Consider the following 19,270-nt stretch of genomic DNA (forward strand, 5'->3'; position numbering starts at 1 on the left):
GATGGGACCCCTCTCTGTCCATCTTCTAAGTGGATACGTATGAGGACAGGACATCTCTCAGTCCTCTCTGCTCTAGACACAGACCTGAGTTTGGGACCTCTGTCGGTCCATCATCTGAGGGGATAGGTGTGAGGAGAGGAACCCTCTCAGCCCCCTCAGCTCAGGGGACAGGCCTGAAGATGCGACCCCCGTCGGTCCATCTTCTTAGGGGATAGATATGAGGACAGGACCTCTCTCAGTCCTCTCTGCTCAAAGGACAGGCCTGAGGACAGGACCCCTCTAAGTCCTCTTTTCTCTACGATAGATATGGGAATGGGACCTCTCTCAGTCGACTGTGCTCAGAAGACAGGCCACAGCACAGGACCTCTCTCTGCCCACTAAGCCTCAGGTACCTGAAGACAGCATCTCTCTCAGTCTTCTCTGCCCGGGGACACCTCTCCCACTGCTTTCTACTCAGGGTCAGGCCTGAGGACAGGACCGCTGTCAGTCTTCTCTGCTAAGGGGACAGACCTTAGGATGGGATCCCTCTCTGACCTCTTACACAGAGGATGGGCCTGTGGACAGAACCTCTCTTATGACTCTCTGCCCAGGGATGGGTCTGAGGACAGGACTCCTCTCAGTCTTCCTGCTCAGGGGACGCCTGAGGATGAGACCTCTCAGTTTTGTTTGCTCAGGGGACAGACTAGAAGATGGGACCTCTCTCAGTCCTCTCTGATCAGAAAGAGACCTGCGGGTTGTACTCTGTCAGACATTTCTGTTGTTCTGCACAGGGGACACCTGAGTATGGGACCTCTTTCAGTCCTCTTTGCTCATGGAACAGGCCTGAAAATGAGACCTCTGCCATTTCTCTATGATCAGGGACAGAGCTGAGGACAGCACCTTTCCCAGTTCCCACCGCTCAGGGTTTGGAGAGAGGCCTGTCTGCTCAAGAGACCCAACTCAGTCCTCTCTCGTTAAGGAACAGGTCTTATGATGGCACCCGTCTCAGTTCATTTTCTCAGAGGTATACCTGTGGACAGGACCTCTCTCACTCCTCTCTGCTCGAGGGAAAGACCTGAGAACAAGACCTCTCTCAGACCACTTTGATCAGGCACAGGCCTGGTGACGGGACCTCTCTCAGTCCTCCCTGCTGAGGGGACAGGCCTTAGGATGGGACCCCTCTCAGTCTTGTCTACTCCGGGACAGTCCTGAGGACGGGACTTCTCTGAGTCCTCTCTGCTCAGCCTCACCCCCATGATTGGGCTCTGATCCAGCTCCCTCATCCACCGCTCAAGCCCTCTGTGAGCCCAGGAGGCTGCTGCTTATTGGATGGGCTTGGTCAGCCCTTGGGCACCCAGGAAGGCACCTTGATGGACCTTTCTGTCCCCAGGCCACACATGCCGCCCTCCTCAGGGGCACTTGTTGAGGACTGTGCAGCAAAACACAATGCATGGTAGGAGCTCTGCCAGCTGGCACGCACCAAGGGCCTGGCTGGGATGAAGGGGACAGGTGGCCCCCCGGGGGGGCCCGTCCTTCAGGCCCGACAAAGTCTCCTTGCTCTGGGCTGGTGGGGAAGCAACTGGTTTCTCCCGGTACCTCCTTCCAGACTCCCTGGCTAGATCCCTTCCGGGTTTCACAACCCAACTGTCCAGCCTGTGTGCTCACATGCCCACTGACACAGTCACACACACATTCACTCACACACTCATGTTCCAGACACACTCACATGCGCACACACATTGAGTGACAAACACACATTGAATGACGCATTCATGCCTGCTCATTGACACACCCACATTTGCAGTCAGCGCACGCACGCACAATGACTCACAAACTCACACACACACTGACACACACTGACACACTCACAGTGTCACACACATTCAGCGACATGCATGCTCACCTTCAATGGCACAGCCTCATTCCCCCACACCCTCCCACTCACACACGCTCAGTGATGCAGTCACATGCTGTCACTTGGATTCACACACATTCTCAGAAACTCATGCACATGCTCACACTGACACACACACGCACACGCTCAAACACACCCGCTCACTCACACTCACACCTGCTCGGGAATCACGGCACACACAGGTCCACTCTGAACAGGGAAAACCAAGGAGCCCTGACAGGCCCTGGCAAGGTCAGCCAAGCTCTATGCCCTCTCCTCTTGCCCTGTCCCCAAAATCTGGAGGGGCCCTTGGAAAGTGAGCAGTTGACTTGGCCCTGCTGAGACACAAGGGACGGACATGCTGGGGTTGTGCCCAGCCTGAAGAAGGCAGGGAGAACAGAACACAGTGGGGGCCCCAGGCATGCCTGCAGGGCACCCCGATGGGACACACTACAAGGGTCCCTGAGACACCGGTTAAGCACCTTCAGGCCGAGGAGGCTGCAGGCCCAGCCCCAGAGACCTGCCGCCCCCTGCCCCTCCCCGACAGCCCCGCAAAACTACCCCTCCCATGCCTGCACTGGCCTGTGTATGCCGAGTGTCTCCCAGGGCCCCTGCCGCCCTGCAGACCTGCTGACTGCAGCTCCGCTCAAGCAGACAGGTCGCCTAGATCCAGGATTCCTCAGCCCAGGTGGGCAGCCACCCATTCCCAGCATTGGCTCTGAGGCTGCTTTGGGGGAGCCTGGCTATCATCTGAGCCATGGGGATGGCCGGAGGCTCTGTGCTCCAGAACAGCCGGAGGAAGTGTGTGGACACAGACTGAGTGAGCCCCGGGAGACCCTCGCCACGTCCAAGTCAATGATCCCGTCCCCTCCCCACACATGTGCAGGGAGGGGCCTATCACTTGTCCCAGTTCTGTCGCCCACAGACTCTGCGTTAGTTAAATGGCTGATCGAGGACTACCCTCCATTTGTAGCGAGCTCCCTGGCCTGTTGGGAGAGAGAGCCAGTCCCAGGAGGGCTCAGGAGGGCGGGTTCCAGGATCCTCAGGCCCCCATCAAGAACTGCGCCTCTGGCCACAGTGCTCAAGGAGGATTGCTGCCCTGGGGATTCAATCAGCCACTGCCCATGAAAACCAACATCCTGTCGCCAGGCTCCATGCAGCCCAAAGAACCCCACAGGCCTTCAGGGACCCTGCCCTGCACACACCCCAGTGTCAGCCTGGCCACTGTGGCCCTCACCCCACCCAACCCCATGCCCAGCAAACCTCATCCCCAGTCTCCCAGAGCAGAGGCGAGGCCGGCTGGAACACTGAATGAAGTTTATTGAAGAGAAACATGTACTGAAACCATTGAAGAGAAGGGAATCACAACACAGAGAGAAACTGCAAATTGCCACCACAGGACACAGGTCCCACACAGGTCCCGGGCCCCCTCCTCCTGGGGTTCCTGGCAAGACGCCTCATCTGCTCCTACTCCTGCTGCAGCCCCCGCTGCCAACTCCCTCCTTCCTGAGGGCCCCAGGGTCCGCCTCTTGCCAGGATGGTGGACTCTGGCAGTGTCCACTGGCTTCAGGGAGCCCCCTCCCGAGCCCATCCGCTGGGGCAGGGCCCTGCCCTATAGCCCTCACAGGACACTGAAAACACAGCAGGGAACACCCCCCCAAGTCAAGGAAACTGAGTCACAAGTAACAACAGGAATAGAACACCAAAGCACAAAGCTCCCCGGGGAGCCTCAGGCAGGGCAGCTCTGCTCTGTCCCAGGTCCGGTTCTTCCTCACACAGTCATGGTCACCATCATGGTCACGGGCACCATCGTGGTCATGCTCACCATAGCAGTCACAGGATGAGCGTCCATCGTGCCCTGGCGCCTCCTTCCACCATCTCCCAGGACTGTGCTGGGGGCCTCCGGGGAGGAGCTGCTCAGAGAAGAACACACACAGCTCCACGAGAACAAGCAGCCCCTGGCCTAGATCTACACCAGGAAAGCAGAGGTGGTGCTCACGACAAGGGACAGGTAGCAGCTAGCAGAGCCTGGGCTAGCAGGAAGCTCACAGCATGTGCCCCAGGCCCAGAGGCAGCCGCACCGATGGGCGCACAGCATACAACTTTGTGTAGGAACAATGGCTAGCGGTGGGTGAGTGGGCGTCTGCTGTTCGGACGCGTGGGTCACTATGGGGCCTACAGAGGTGAGGGTGGGCTTCCCGGAACGGGGGGCAGTCTGCCCCAGGGATGGCAAGTGGGGGCCACCTCTTGGGACATGTAGGCAGCTGTCACCCTTGAGAGGGCCTCTTTCCCCCATCTCTCCCAACACAGGACAAGGGGTGGGGGGCAGACATCTTCAGGCTGGCCGCTCAGAGCTCCCTCCAGGCCAGCTCCCCATTTGGTATCAAACGTGGTCATCTGAGTCACTGGGAAGGGCTGGTGGTGGTGGCCAGGACCCATTAGGGGAGGTGGGAGGCACAGCTCCCAACATGGGGTGAGGGACCGGCCCTGGCCTGGCCTCTGTCTGCCTCCAGGGTGCTGCTGCCTGAGAGGAGAGGAGCCCTCAGGGCCCTCAGAGCCTATTTGCCCGGGGGGGACTTGGGCTTGCCCGCCTCCCCAGCCCCATCCTCATCCTCGTTTTCTGACTCCTCTAAGATGGGCTTGAGCCCCTCCTGGGGAGGCTCCTCAGCCTCCTGGCCTCCAACCTGGACAAGGCCCTCTGGCTCCCAGCTGGGACCTCCTGGGGCCATGTCGACTGCACTGCCCATCCTGGCTGGGAGGCCCCCAGGGGCGTCGGGGGACCTTCCCTGACCTAGGCCTTCAAGGCCTGCAGGGGCATTTTCATCTTCCCCAGTGGCAGGGGCAACCCTGGCGGCCTCTTTGGTGGTGGAAGCAGCCTCATCAGCATCTTCTGCTCCGGGATCAGCCTCGCTGGCGTCCCCCTGGGCCGGGGAGGCCTGGGCAGCAGCTGGGTCTTCACTCTCCACTGGGGCCGCTGCCCAGGCCACACCCTGCTGGCTCCTTGCTAGGGAGGCTGCCCACGCCTCCATGTCCCGGATGAGCCGCAGCAGCCTCAGGAAGTCAGGTGGCCTCCTCTCCAGCTGCATCCTCCTCAGGGTATCCTGGAGTGCCTCGCTGGGGCGGGCCCGAGACAGCACCTGCCGCAGTCGCAGGTGGTTGGCCATGGCTGGGTGGACCGCCCCCTTCTCCACGGCCTTCTGCAGCAGGCCTTCCAGGCGCACCACGAAGGCAAACAGCCCCTCCTGGGGCCCCTGCGTGCAGGTCAGGAACTTCATCCGCGAGGTCATCCATGTATCCCGGCTCCTAAACACCTGCCCCAGCGCCGTCAGGCAGTCCTGCGCAGAGAAGTCTGGATCTTCCTCCAGGAGGCCGCTCACGATATCCAGGGCCAGGCCATCCAAGCTGTCCAGCAGCCGCCTCCTTCTCTCCCTTTCCGACGCGTGGCACCACAGCTGCAGCATATCCTTGGCGTCCTCCAACCAGCTCTCAAAGGACTCTTCCACGCAGCCTGGCTGCTCCCTCCCGGAAAAGGGTCTCAGTTCCCGGTAGGCCATAGTTTTCACCAGAGGCCGCAGGGTCTGGCGCCATGACTGGGTCCAGGCCTCCACCACACCTGCACCTACTGCCTCACCTGCAGCTCCTGCCTCATCTTCACCTCCTTCCTCACCTGCGCCTCCTGCCTCACCTGCACCTCCTTCCTCACCTGTACCTCCTTCCTCACCTGCACCTCCTGCCTCACCTGCACCTCCTGCCTCACCTGCACCTCCTGCCTCACCTGCTGCTCCTGCCTCACCTGCTGCTCCTGCCTCACCTGCTGCTCCTGCCTCACCTACACCTCCTGCCTCACCTATACCTCCTGCCTCATCTTCACCTGCAGATCTTTCCTCATTCACACCTCCTGCCTCACCTACAGATCCTGCCTCACCTGCAGCTCCTGCTTCACCTGCACCTCTGGCCACTGCTTGCCCCTGGGGCTGTGCAGGGAAACTGGGTATATCCTGAAACTCAGCATCAAGGGCCTGGGGCAGGGAGATCACTTTCCAGGGTCCCCCTTTGCCTGCTATTTGGCGGGGAATCAAGCTTTGGTTTAAACCCTCAGCGAATTCCACCAAGGCTGCCCTGGCCCCGAGCTCCTTTCTGAAGACCTTGATGAGCACTCGGTACCTGCCCAGGGGCGACAGGGCAGCCCGCACGGCCTCCTGGAACTCATGTTCCTCGCAGTCGTCAGGGATATCCAGGATGAGCAGAGAGCGCTCTGCGTTCACACCCATCCTCCTGCACCAGTCCTGAAGCATCGCCAGAGCTATCGCAGAGGACTTGAGGGAGGGAGCCTGATCAGACAGGAATGTGTGCTGACTGTTGCAGTCTCTGACGCAGCCTGTGAGTGCAAAGGGGAGAGAGGGACGACGTTGCTGCCAATCAACCCACCCCCACTACAGGCCTTTGCCCTCCCCTCCCAAGCACTGCAGCAGCCAGGGATCCATTCCCTCCCACTGCTGCAGCCCATGCACCCCCAAAGCCCTCCCCCAGTTGGTGACACTTAATCCCTTGGCACACACCCACCACCTCTATTGGGAGATCCCCTTTTGCCTGAGCTGATGTCCCCTTATCACACCACAACAAGTGCACCTCCCCCTCCCACCATCATCTGTAACATTGCAGCCAGGAGTCCTCCCCTATCCAAGCCCCTGCAACAGGTAGCTCTTCCCCCACCCAGAATCCCTGCGGCCAGTAGTCTTCCCCTACACAGATCTTTGCAGCCTGGAGTTCTTCCTTACCCAAACTGCAGAAGGGAAGCAGAGAGACCTCCCCCGTCTCTTTTCCAGCGCCAAACCAGGAGCCCCCTCCCTCTTTTGATCTTCCTCTTTTGATCTTCCGTGTAACCTGGCAACCCCCCTCCGCGCCCCCCACACCTGCAGCCAGAAGTCCCCTTCCTCCCCCGAAAGCCAGAGCCCCCCTCTCTCCCACCGTCCCCTGCACCTCTGCAACGGCAGCCCACCCTACCCCCCACCCCCGCCCCACCAGACTCCTGCAGCCAGGAGCCCCCTCCTCCTCTCTCTGCGGGCCCTGGGCCGGACCGGGACCCCCTCTCGCGCCCACTGCGGAGGCAGCGATCTGGCACCTGCCCAGGGCGCCCGCGGTCACTCTGGGGTCCCGCCGGAGCCTGCTCACTTTCTCCGACTCTGCGGACGCTGCGACCACCCGCGGAAAAACGCCGCCTTCAAGCTGTGGAGCCCACTCTGGAGGCCACCTAGAGGCCCTGGAGCAGGAGGGTGGAAGATCTCGCCTCAGTCACGCGGCCGCGCTGCGCAGCGCAGGGGTCTCCAAAGCCCGCTGTGCTAAGACTACAGGGCTTCCCGCTTCTCCCAGAAGCCCCAGGTAGATGAGGAAGAAAAATTTCGTAGTCTCTGTGGAAGACAAGTGGCTAGACAGGAGGAGACATCTGTGTTGCCCTGGCAACGGGACCTGCATGGTAAGGGCTTAATGTTCCAAGGCTTGGAGCCTCTGGGAGCAACAGGCCCACCGATTGGCCCTCCACCATCAAAATGACCTCCATCAGTAATTGTGGCAAATTGCTGGGATGGGATGGACTAGAAGTCACGAGGAGGAGATCCTAAGACCAGGTCCCCAGGGTATTCACAGCCTGCCCTGCTCAGGCCTGGAATCCCTACAACATAGATTGATTGCTGGCTGTGTTCCTCATACCAGCTCTTTACCGGCTGGAGGCCGGCCTTCAACCACCTGGGCAGCCATTGCCTAGGAAAGCGTGTGGGCTTTCAATCAGACAGATGCAGCCTCACCTAACAGCTAGGTGGCCTATATCTGTCAGTGAACATGTATGCCCATCATCTGGAAATGGGCAATAAAACACTTGCCTTTTTATATATTGCTGGATATGGATTTCTAATAAATAGTTTTCCTATACTGTTCTTGAGGGATATTTTTCTGTAATTTTCTGGTTTTATATCATCTTTTTATCAGGATTTAGGTTTGTACTGGCCCCATAAACTGAGTTAAGAATTGTTTCCTGCTCCTCTATTTTCTGAAACTGTTGTGTAAAATTGGCAATTTTTGTTCCTTAAATATTTGCTGGAGTTCACCCATGAAATCATCTGGGCATGGATTTTTGTTTTATTTTTAGAAAAGTTTTTTGTTAATAAATATATTTATGAAGTATAGGGCTATGTGTTTTTTCTATTCAATCCATTGGAAGTTTTGGTAAATTGCTTTGTTTCCAATGCATGTGTCAATTTTATCTAAGTTGTCAAAATTATTGTCATAAAGTTAATATTCCCTCACTATTCTTTTAATGCCTATATAACCTCTAATGATATCCCTCTTTCACGGCTGATATTAATGATTATTTTCTTTTTTCTTGATTAGCCTTCCTAAGGGCTACACATTTGGTTGCTCTTTTAAAATATGTGTGATTTACTTACTTTTAGTTTGTTTTCTATTTTATTGATTTCTGCTCTTGTATCTCTATTATCTCCTTCCTTCTACTTATTCGAGATTTACTTTGCTATTCCTTTTCTAGCTTCTTTAGGTGGAATGTTTTGTATATTTACTGATTTATATTAAATATTAAATATATTTTATATATTTACTGATTTCTTGTCTAGTGGTTATATCAGTTGCTGAGGCAGAGATGATGAAATCTCCAACTATAATTGTGGAAATGCCTAGTTGTTCCTTTATACTGTCAATTTTTGTTTCATATATTTTGAGGCTCTGTTATTGGGTGCAAACATGTTTATGAGTTCTATGTGTTTCTGATTAATTGAACCTTATATAATTATTACCTTTATCTCAGGTGATACTCTTTGGAACTCCACTTTGTCGGCTATTAACATAGACTTTCCCACTTTCTTATGCTTGCCCCTTGCATGGTATATAATTTACAACCTCTTACTATCAACCCATCTGAGTCTGTATATTAAAATTGCATTTCTTGGAGACAGCAAAAGTCTTGCTCTTTTATTCATTCTGACAATCTCTGCCTTTTAATTGGAGTGTTTAGCCCATTTACATTGAATGTTATGTTTGATATATTTGGATTTAGGTCTATCCTTTTACTATTTGCTCCATCTGATTTTTGTTCCCATGTTCCCCATTTCCTGCCTGGATTAATCAAATATTTTTTGTAATTCACTTTTAATGTATCCGTTATCTTCTTAGCTATATCTCTTTGCATTTTTGTAGTGCTCACTCTAGAGATTACAATATATATATATATATTTAACTTTTCACTGTCGACTTAAAGTTAATATTGTGCATAAATGTAAGAAACTCTCCATCATATAGATTCACTTCCATTCCACCTCATCCTTTATGAGTTGCCAAACCCTAGTATATACTATTAAACTGTTTACTTTAAAGTCATATTATTATAAAGAAATTAAGGGCAAATAACTATTCATTAATATTTACCCACACATGTACCATTTCCTGTGTTCTTCATTTCTACCCAAAGATCAAAGATTTCCTCTAGTTTAATTTTTCTTCAGATTGAAAGACTTCCTTTAGTATTTCTTTTAGTGCAGTTCTGTTGATGAATTTTCTTAGCTTTCCTATATCTCAAAAGATATTTACTTCACCTTCATTCTTGAATTTGTTCTATTTCCCTAGATATAGAGTTCTGTATTGGAAGGTTTTTTTTTTCTTTCACTGTTTTAGAAATGTTGCTCCACTGTCTCCAGGCTTCCATTGTTTCTGATGAGAATTAAGTTCTTAATGCACTCCCATATGTAGAGTCATTTTACTCTGACTACTTTCAAGATTTTTCTTGCCCTTCTTTGTTTTCAGTAGCTTGACTACAATGTGCCTAGATGTTGCTTTCCTTTGTAATTATCCTCTTTGTGGTTCACCAAGTTTCATTAAATTTGTAAATAATGGATTTCCTAAGAAAAATGATACTAGAGGAATTTTTCAGCCATTATTTCTTCAGATAGCTTTCCTTCCCCATTTTCTCTATCCCATCCTGGCACTCAAAATACACATTTGACCTTTATATATTGTCCCACAGACCACTGAGGTTCCATTCGTTTCTATTATTGTTCCTCTTGGTTTATCCGAATAGATCATTTCTATTGATCTAGCTTCAAGTTCATGACTCTTCTGTCATCTGCAATCTGTTATTAAGACAATCCATTGAATTTTTCACTTTATGTTTTTCAGTTCCGGAATTACAGTTGGTTTGTTTCTCTTTTTTAAATTTTTATTTTAGGCTTAGGGGTACATGTGAAGGTTTGTTGCATAGATAAACACATGTCATATAGGTTTATTGTACATATTATTACATTACCCAGGTAATAGTTATCTTTTCTCTTCCCCTCCCGTCACACACCCTCCATCCTCAAGTAGACCCCAGCATCTGTTGTTTCCTCCTTTGTGTTCATAAGTTCTTATCATTTAGCTCCCACTTATAAGCGAGAACATGCAGTATTTGGTTTTCTGTTCCTGTGTCAGTTTGCTAAGGATGATAGCCTCCAGCTTCATCCATGTTACTGCAAAAGACATGCTCTTGTTCTTTTTATGGCTGCATAATATTCTGTCATGTATATGTACCATATATTATTTATCCAGTCTGTCATTGATAGGCATTTAGGTTGATTCTGTATCTTTGTTATTGTGAATAGTGCTGCAGCAAACATTCACGTGCATGTGTCTTTAGGGAAGAATGCTTTATATTCCTCTGGGTATATACCCAGTAATGAGATTGCTAGGTTGAATGGTAGTTCTGCTTTTACCTCTTTGAGGAATCTCCATACTGTTTTCCACAATGGTTGAACTAATTTACACTCTCACCAACAGTGTATAAGTGTTCCCTTTTCTCCACAACCTCGCCAGCATCTGCTATTTTTTGACTTTTTAATAATAGCCATTCTGACTGATGTGAGATGGCATTTTGTTGTGGTTTTCATTTCCATTTCTCTAATGATCAGTGATATTGGGCTTTTTTTCATGTGCTTTTTGGCCACATGTATGTCTTCTTTTGAGAAGTGTCTGTTCATGTCTTTTGCCCACTTTTTAATGGGGTTATTTTTCTCTTGTAAGTTTATTTAATTTCCCTACAGATTCTGGATATTAGACCTTTGTCAGTTGCATAGTTTGCAAATATTTTCTTCCATTCTGTAGGTTATCTGTTTACTCTGTTGATAGTTTCTTTTGCTGTACAGAAGCTCTTAAGTTTAACTAGATCCCACTTGTCAATTTTTGTTTTTGTTTAGATTCATTTTGGTTTCTTTGTCATGAAATCTTTGTCTGTCTCTATGTCCAGGATGGTAATTGCCTAAGTTGTCTTCCAGGGTTTTTATAGTATGGGGTTTTAGATTTAAGTCTTTAATTCATATTGAGTTGATTTTTGCACACAGTGTAAGCAAGGGGTCCAGCTTCAATCTTCTGCATATGGCTAGCCAGTTGTCTTAGCACCATTTACTGAATAGGGAGTCTTTTCCCCATTGTTTGTTTTTGTCAGCTTTGTCAAAGATCAGATGATCGTAGGTGTGCAGACTTATTTCTGGGCTCTCTATTCTGTTCCATTTGTCTATGTGCCTGTTTTTGTACCAGTACCATGCTGTTTTAGTCACTGTAGCCTTGTAGTATAGTTTGAAGTCAGGTAATGTGATCCATCCAGCTTTGTTCTTTTTGCTTAGGATTGTCTTAGCCATTCATACTCTATTTTGGTTCCATATAAATTTTAAAATAATTTCTAGTTCTGTGACGAATGTCATTGATAGTTTGATAGGAATAGCATTGAATCTGTAAATTGCTTTGGGCAGTATAGCCATTTTAATGATATTGATTATTCCTATACATGAGCATGGAATGTTTTTCCATTTGTTTTTGTCTTCTCTAATTTATTTGACCAGTGTTTTGTAATTCTCATTGTAGAGCTCTTTCACCTTCCTGGTTAGCTGTATTCCTAGGTATTTTATATTTTTGTGGCAACTGTGAATGGGATTGCCTTTCTGATTTGGCTCTCAGTTTGGTTGTTGTTGGTGTATAGGAATGCTTCTGATTTTTGTGCATTGATTTTGTATCCTGCAACTTTGCTCAATTTTTTTATCAGCTGAAGGAGCTTTGGGGCCAAGACCATGGGGTTTTCTAGATATAGAATCATGCTGTCCGCAGATAGAGATAGGGTGACTTTCTCTCTTCCTATTTGGATGCCCTTTATTTCTTTCTATTGCCTGATTGCTCTGGCTAGGACTTCCAATACTATGTTGAATACAAGTGGTGAAAAAATGTATGCTTGTCTTGTGCTGGTTTTCAAGGGAGGAATGCTTCCAGCTTTTGCCCATTCAGTATAATGTTGGCTGTGGTTCTTATTATTTTGAGTTATGTTCCTTCAATATCTAGTTTATTGAGAGTTTTTAACATGAAGTGATGTCGAATTTTATCAAAAGTCTTTTCTGCATTTATTGAGATAACCATGTGGTTTTTGTCTTTAGTTCTGTTTATGTGATGAATCACGTTTATTGGTTTTCATATGTTGAGCCAAACTTGCATCCTAGGGATGAAGCCTACTTGATCATGGTGGATTAGATTTTTGATGTGCTGCTGGATTTGGTTTGCAAGTATTCTGTTGAGGATTTTTGCATTGATGTTCATCAAGGATACCGGCCTGAAGTTTTCTTTTTTTGTTGTGTCTCTGCCAGATTTTGGTATCAAGATTATGCTGGCCTCATAGAATGAGTTGGGGAGAAGCCCCTCATCCTTAATTTTTTGGAATAATTTCTGTAGGAATGGTAACGGATTGTCTTTGTACATCTGGTACAATTTGTCTGTGAATCTAGCAAGTCCTAGGCCTTTTTTGGTTGGCAGGCTATTTATTAGTGATTCAATTTCAAAGCTTGTTATTGATCTGTTCAGGGAATCAGTTTCTTCCTGGCTCAGTTTTGGGTGGATGTATGGGTCCAGAAATTTATCCATCTCTTCCAGGTTTTCTAATTTGTGTGCATAGAGGTCTTTGGAGTAGTTTCTGATGGTTGTTCTTAGTTTTGTGGGGTCAGTAGTAACATTCCCTTAATCATTTCTAATTGTGTTTATTTGGATCTTCTCTCTTCTTCTTAATTCATCTAGCTGGTGGCCTATTTTATTAATTTTTTCAAAAAACCAACTCCTGGAATTTCAAGCCAGTGGGTTTTATCTTGTGAGGTGCTGTGGAAGTGGGGGCTACAGGCTGTTGCTGCTCAGCCCCCTAGATTCAGCCTCTTTCCTAGGGGTATGTACAGGAGTCTAACCTTCCACTTTGCTGAAGCTGCAACTACTTTTGCCGGAAAGCCCAAGTATCTAAGGTTCCAGGTTCTCCACACATGCCTGAGCAGCTGCTCTGCCAAGAGCCATGGCTCTGTCTGTCAGACTGAAAACTGAAAGGCCCTGGTGGAGTGGGTTCACAAGGAGATCTGCTGACCCGAGGGTTGCAAAGATCTGTGGGAGAAGCGTGGTTTCCTAGAGTCGCTCATTCACTAACCACTTTCCTGGGTAGGGGAGGATCCCCTGGCTCTGTATTGCTCCCAGGTGGGCCATTGTTCTATTTTGCTTTTCTTTGTTCTCTGTGGGTCAAGTTGTTTCCTTGATTAATCCCAATGCAAGTACCTGGATGTTTCAGTTGAAGGTGGTGTATTTACTCACCCCTTCTGTTCCTCTCTGTGAGAGCCACCCATACTACCTGCTTCTAGTCAGCCATCTTGGCCACTCCCCCAATTGGTTCTTTTCAATAGTTTCTTTTTCTCTACTAAAATTTCCTATTTAAAACTTCATTGTTATTCTCTTGGGCCATGTTTGTATATATTTTACATTTTTACACTTTTACCTTTTACATATTACACATAACATTTACATTTCTACACTACACAATTGGTTTTGTGTAAATCATAATAAACACATCAGCCAAAGTGATAAGTAGGTTGGTGTATATAATTCATTCATTAATTTATTCATAGATCCACCCATTCAACAAGCATTTACAGTGCACCTACTGTGTCAGGCATTATTCTAAGTCCTAGAAATTTAGAGACAAATTAGAAATAGTCTCTGTTCTTAAGAAGCTGCCAGAATGGTAAGAAGAGGCAGGCATGTAAACAAATTTAGTAATACAATTTACTGGGGGTAGTGATAGGGTATGTACAGAGTACAGGGGGATACCAAGTGGGCAGGTCATACCTGGAAAGGGTCAGGAAAGTCCTCACAGGGAAGGTACACCTTGCATTAGGATAGAGGAGGAAAGATAGAGGTACATATCAAAAACGTAGCAAACAATCATCAAATGGCTTGAAGAACATCAGGGAGAGGTGTCCAGTGAGCAGGTGGACATTGAGATTTAGAAAGCAGAAGTTGGTCCCAGAGAGCCAAACCTGATGGCATTTAGCCTTAAGGTGGTTGTGTGAAGCTGGGCGTATTAGTCTGTTTTCATGCTGCTGATAAAGACATACCCAAGACGAGGTAATTTATAAAGAAAAGGAGGTTTGATGGACTCACAGTTCCACGTGACCGGGAGGCCTCACAATCATGGCAGGGGGTGAAAGGCACATCTTACATGGCAGCAGGTAAGAAAGAAAATGAGAATCAAGCAAAAGGGGAAGTCCTTTATAAAAACATCAGATCTCATGGGACTTATTCACTACCATGAGAACAGTATGGGGAAAACTGCCTCCATGATTTAATTATCTCCCTCCAGGTCCCTCCTACAACACGTGAGAATTATGGAGCTACAATTCAAGATAAAATTTGGGTGGTGACACAGCCAAACCATATCACTGGGTGAGGGGCTGATATCCCCAGATGGCACCACAGGTAGCCTAAGAGGATGTGGGTGAAATAGAGTTGTTCTGAGCCTTAGTCAGTGAAGGAGACCGGAAAAGAATTTGTTGGAACTGAGGGCCAGAAGCCAAGCCTGAGACATTCAGAGCAAGTTTTACCTTTATACTTTATACTTTAAGGACGGAGGCTGTGGACTCAGGCCAGCCATGTGGCATTGAACAAACTACTTAAACACTGTTTGGCTCAATTTCCATAACCATGAAACAGAAGTAATAATAGGACCTGCCTCAGGACTATTGTAAGAATTAGATGAGATAATATTTATAAAACAATGTCTGGCACATAGCAAACAATCATCAAATAATAGCCTTTGTTATCAATTTATTGTTTTAATGGATATGAAAAACTAGAGAATTAATTTTAACCCCTCAATCACTAGATTGTAACACAGATGCATTCATTTATTTGAGAAATATTTATGAAGCATCTACTATGTGCCAGGCATGTTTTTTGGTACTATCAGGGAGAAATCAATATCTATGGTCTTAAGACCTTAACCTGGTGTTAAGATCTCAAAGGATCTACGAATCAGATGGGGAAAAATGCATCCTTATTTTTACTAAAATAACTAAACTTTAGTGTTTCCTTCAATTATGAATGTAGGCAACAAACCACAACAGTATCGGCAATACATGTGACTTTGTCACCAACAGAAATAAATATTTTCATATCACATTACAGTTATTGCCAATAGCTAGACACATTTGCTGGAAATAACATTTCATCAATTTATGGCATTGGTAAAGAACCTTTAAGTACTGCTGTTTTACTTGTTAATGAAGAAGCACATATATCAATATAAAAATCATTATGAGCATGCTTTATGTTCTCGACTATGGTCAGCCCAGGGTGAGTTTCCCTTGGATGCTTTTTTCCTTGAGTATCAGGACAATTCTTGTTTCTTGTAGTAATCTAGCATTATATCCTAGACACTGTCCATAATGAATTCTAGTAGATTTGGCTTCTTGGTTTCTGTTATATTTCTCCGAAGATGAGTCATTGTTTGTTATTGTTGTTGTGGTGGTGGTGGTGGTGGTGGTGGTGGTTTGTTGTCTTAGTAGACAACTAAACTAGCTAAACTCACATGAAGTCTCCTCTGTATTGGGTACCAACTGCAATCTCCAGACTCCGTTTCTTTGGTATTGGGCATCAGCTGAAACCTCTGCTCAGTTCTTTTCTTGGACTCAGCCCTGTGCTTGCATGGCTCCAGGGTCAACCAGAGATTTGGGCAGAGTGTACAGGCCAAACATGGAGCTCCTCAACACGGTGCTTCTCTACTCCCAGGTATTGCCCCTCCTGCTTTCCCTCTGCCATGGCCACCCTAAAATCTGCTCTCTGGGTCTCTGAGTTTTAGCCACCCAGCACAGCATCCTCTGTGGCCCACACTCACATGCAGACAAGCAAGAAACTCACCTTTGCAGAGAGGAACAAGATTACAAATCTCACCGCAGTGCTCAGCAGTTCAGGCTCCCCTGTGGCTCCCACCAATGACTGGGCAGACATTGCAAGACTCGGGATGCTGCCAAGAGAACCACGGCTACCAGTGCTTCTCAGGGAATGGGTGGCACGACGCCTGCCACCAGCAGCCCAGCCTGAGTGAAATCTGTGGGGACCCTGCTTCTTCCCACCTCGGGCCTCAGACTCAGTGGATAGTAGGTTCATATGATTGGTGGAGCCTGAGTTAGGTGCCCATGCTGTAGCTACAAGAGAAGCTGGGAGAGTGAATACTAACCATCTTTGAGATCTAGAGTGGGAGGCAAACTCTACTTCATGGGATAGGCAATGCCCCAAACAAAGAATGGTTAATATAAAAATGATTGTCATTGTCTACTTTATATGGTATTAAATGGACAGAAGAAAGAAGAGAAACACAGATTAAGAAACAAATAAAACACACAGATTACCAATATCAGGAATCAGGGTGGTGTTATCACTGCAGATAATAATAGAACATTGTGTACAATTTTATATTAATAAATTTGGCTACTTACATGAAATGGGCAAATTTCTTGAAAGATACAAATAGCAAAGCTCAGTCAAAAAGAAATAGATACAGGCATACCTCTGAGATAGTATGCCTTCTGTTCCAGACCAGGGCAATAAAGCATATATCACAATAAGCCAGTTACCCAAATTTTTTGGTTTCCCAGTGCATACAAAAGCTATAGCCTGTTAAGTGTACAGTAGTATTATGTCTGAAAAAAAATGTACTCATCTTAATTTTAAAATATTTTATTGCTAAAAATGCTAATGATCATCTCAGAGTTTGGTGTGTGGTGAGGGCCTTCTTACCATGTCCTCATATGGTGGAAGGCAGACGCAAAACAGCAAGCTAACCAGATGCTGCATGAAGCCTCTTTTATAAGGGCCTTAATTCCATTCCGAGGGAGTAGCCCTCTGGTCTAATCACCTTTTAATAGATCTGGGTCTCTCCCTCTTCTTCCTTCTGTCCATTTAATACTATATAAAGTAGACAATGACAATGCCTCACCTCTTAATAATATCACATTGGCAACACCTGAATTTTGGAAGGGATACATTCAAACCACAACATCCAGTCTCAGGCATTTTTTCATGGCAGTGCAAATGGACTAAGACAATTTCCAAATAATTTTGTTGAGTGAAAGGAACCAAACACAAAAGAAGACTTATTATAACATTTTATTATATAAAATTCTAGAAAATACCCTATAGTGACAGAAAGCAGATCATTGGTTGCCTGGGGACAGGAGAGGAGAAGAGAAAGGGATAGTCATGGGCATGAGGAAACTTTGAAGGTGATGGAAATCCTTATTGCCTTGATTGTGGTGATGGTTTCATACGTGTGTGTGTGTGTGTGTGTGTGTGTGTGTGTGTGTGAAAGCTTATCAAGTTGTTTAGCTGAAACATGACAAATTCACAGTTTATTGTCTGTCAAATATATCTCAGTGTAAACAGACAACCTACAGAATGGGAGAAAATCACCTGACAAAGGTCTAATATCCAGAATATAACCCCATCAAAAAATGGGCAAAAGACGTGAACAGACACTTCTCAAAAGAAGACATACAAGTGGCCAAAAAACATATGAAAAAAATGCTCTCATCACTAATCATCAGAGAAATGCAAATCAAAACCACAATGGGACACTATCTCACTCCAGTGAGAATGGCCATTATTTAAAAGTCAAAAAATAAGAGATGCTGGAGAGACTGTGGAGAAAAGGGGATACTTATACACTGCTGATGGGAATGTAAATTATTTCAGCCACTGTGGAAAGCAGTTTGGAGATTTCTCAAACAACTTATAACAGAGCTACCATTTGACCCAGCAATCCCAGTACTGGGTATATACTCAAAGGAAAATAAATCATTCTACCACCAAGACACATGCACCTGTATGGTCATCACAGCACTATTCACAATAGCAAAGACGTGGAATCAACCTAGGTGATCATCAGTGGTGGATTGGATAAAGAAAATGTGGTAGGCATTCACCACAGAATGCTATGCAGCCATAAAAAAAGAATGAAATCATGTCCTTTGCAGCAACATGGATGCAGCTAGAGGCTGTTATCCTAAGTGAATTAATGCAGGAACATAAAACCAAATGCCACACATTCTCATTTATAAGTGGGAGCTAAACATCGGGTACTCGTGCGCATAAAGATGGGAACAACAAACAATGGGAACTACAAGAGGGGTCAGGGAAGGAGGGGTCAAGGGTTTAAAAACTAACTATTGTGTACTATGTTCAGTACTTGGATGACAGGGTCATTCGTACCCCAAACCTCAACATCACACACTATACCCAGGCAACAAACCTGCACATGTACCCCCTAAATCTAAAATGAAAGTTGAAAACATAAAATTTCTCAGGAACTACATGTGTGTGTATATATATATACATACATACACACACACATATATACACACACATTGCACATAATGGGCTAGCTTTCTCTTTTGTCTCTCTCTCTATATATACACACACACATATATATACATATATATATACTGCACATAACATTGGGCAAACTACTTGAACAGACACTTTACAAAGAAAGATATAGAAATGGCCAGTGAGCACATAAAAGCATACTCAACATAATTAGTCATCAGGGAGATGATAATTGAAATAACAATGAGATGCCACTTCCCACCCTTTCAAATGGCTAAAAATAAAGGCTGACAACCTCAAATGTTGATGAGGATGGGAAAGAAAAGGAGCTCGCATACATTTCTGGTGGGAATGTAAATTGCACAACCACTTTGGAATACATTCTGGCAGTTTCTTATAAAACATAAAACTATCCTGTGATGTGGCAATTCATCTCTTAGGTATTTGCCCAAGAAAAATGAAAGCATATGTCCACACAAAGATGTGTACATGAATATTCATAGTAGCTTTATTTATAATCGCCCAAACTGGAAACAGCCCAGATCATAACCTGGTGAATGAACAAACCAACTCTGATATATCCAAACAATAGCATACTACTCAGCGATAGCACATTCAACAACATAGATAAATCTTGAAAACATCACGTTGAATGAAAGAATCCAGACACACAATAGTACATACGATCTGATT

The 19,270-nt window shown here is 46.6% G+C and overlaps 1 protein-coding gene across 1 annotated transcript; it reads right to left on the bottom strand.

Annotated features, from left to right (window-relative positions):
* Positions 1-3,173: 3,173 nt before the first annotated feature.
* PNMA6F (PNMA family member 6F) lies at positions 3,174-7,261 on the bottom strand. Its single transcript, NM_001354980.2, has 2 exons — positions 7,046-7,261; positions 3,174-6,251 (listed from the first exon to the last, which is right to left on the bottom strand). The coding sequence occupies exon 2, from the start codon at positions 6,166-6,168 to the stop codon at positions 4,432-4,434; it is 1,737 nt and encodes a 578-aa protein (NP_001341909.1). The 5' UTR covers positions 6,169-6,251; positions 7,046-7,261; the 3' UTR covers positions 3,174-4,431.

This window comes from Homo sapiens, chromosome X (genome assembly GCF_000001405.40).
Source record: "Homo sapiens chromosome X, GRCh38.p14 Primary Assembly".
Lineage (NCBI taxonomy): Eukaryota > Metazoa > Chordata > Mammalia > Primates > Hominidae > Homo > Homo sapiens.

Bases quoted from the DNA above. Each gene is read 5' to 3' on its own strand.
- PNMA6F (NM_001354980.2), bottom strand. From the start codon at position 6,168: ATGCTTCAGGACTGGTGCAGGAGGATGGGTGTGAACGCAGAGCGCTCT.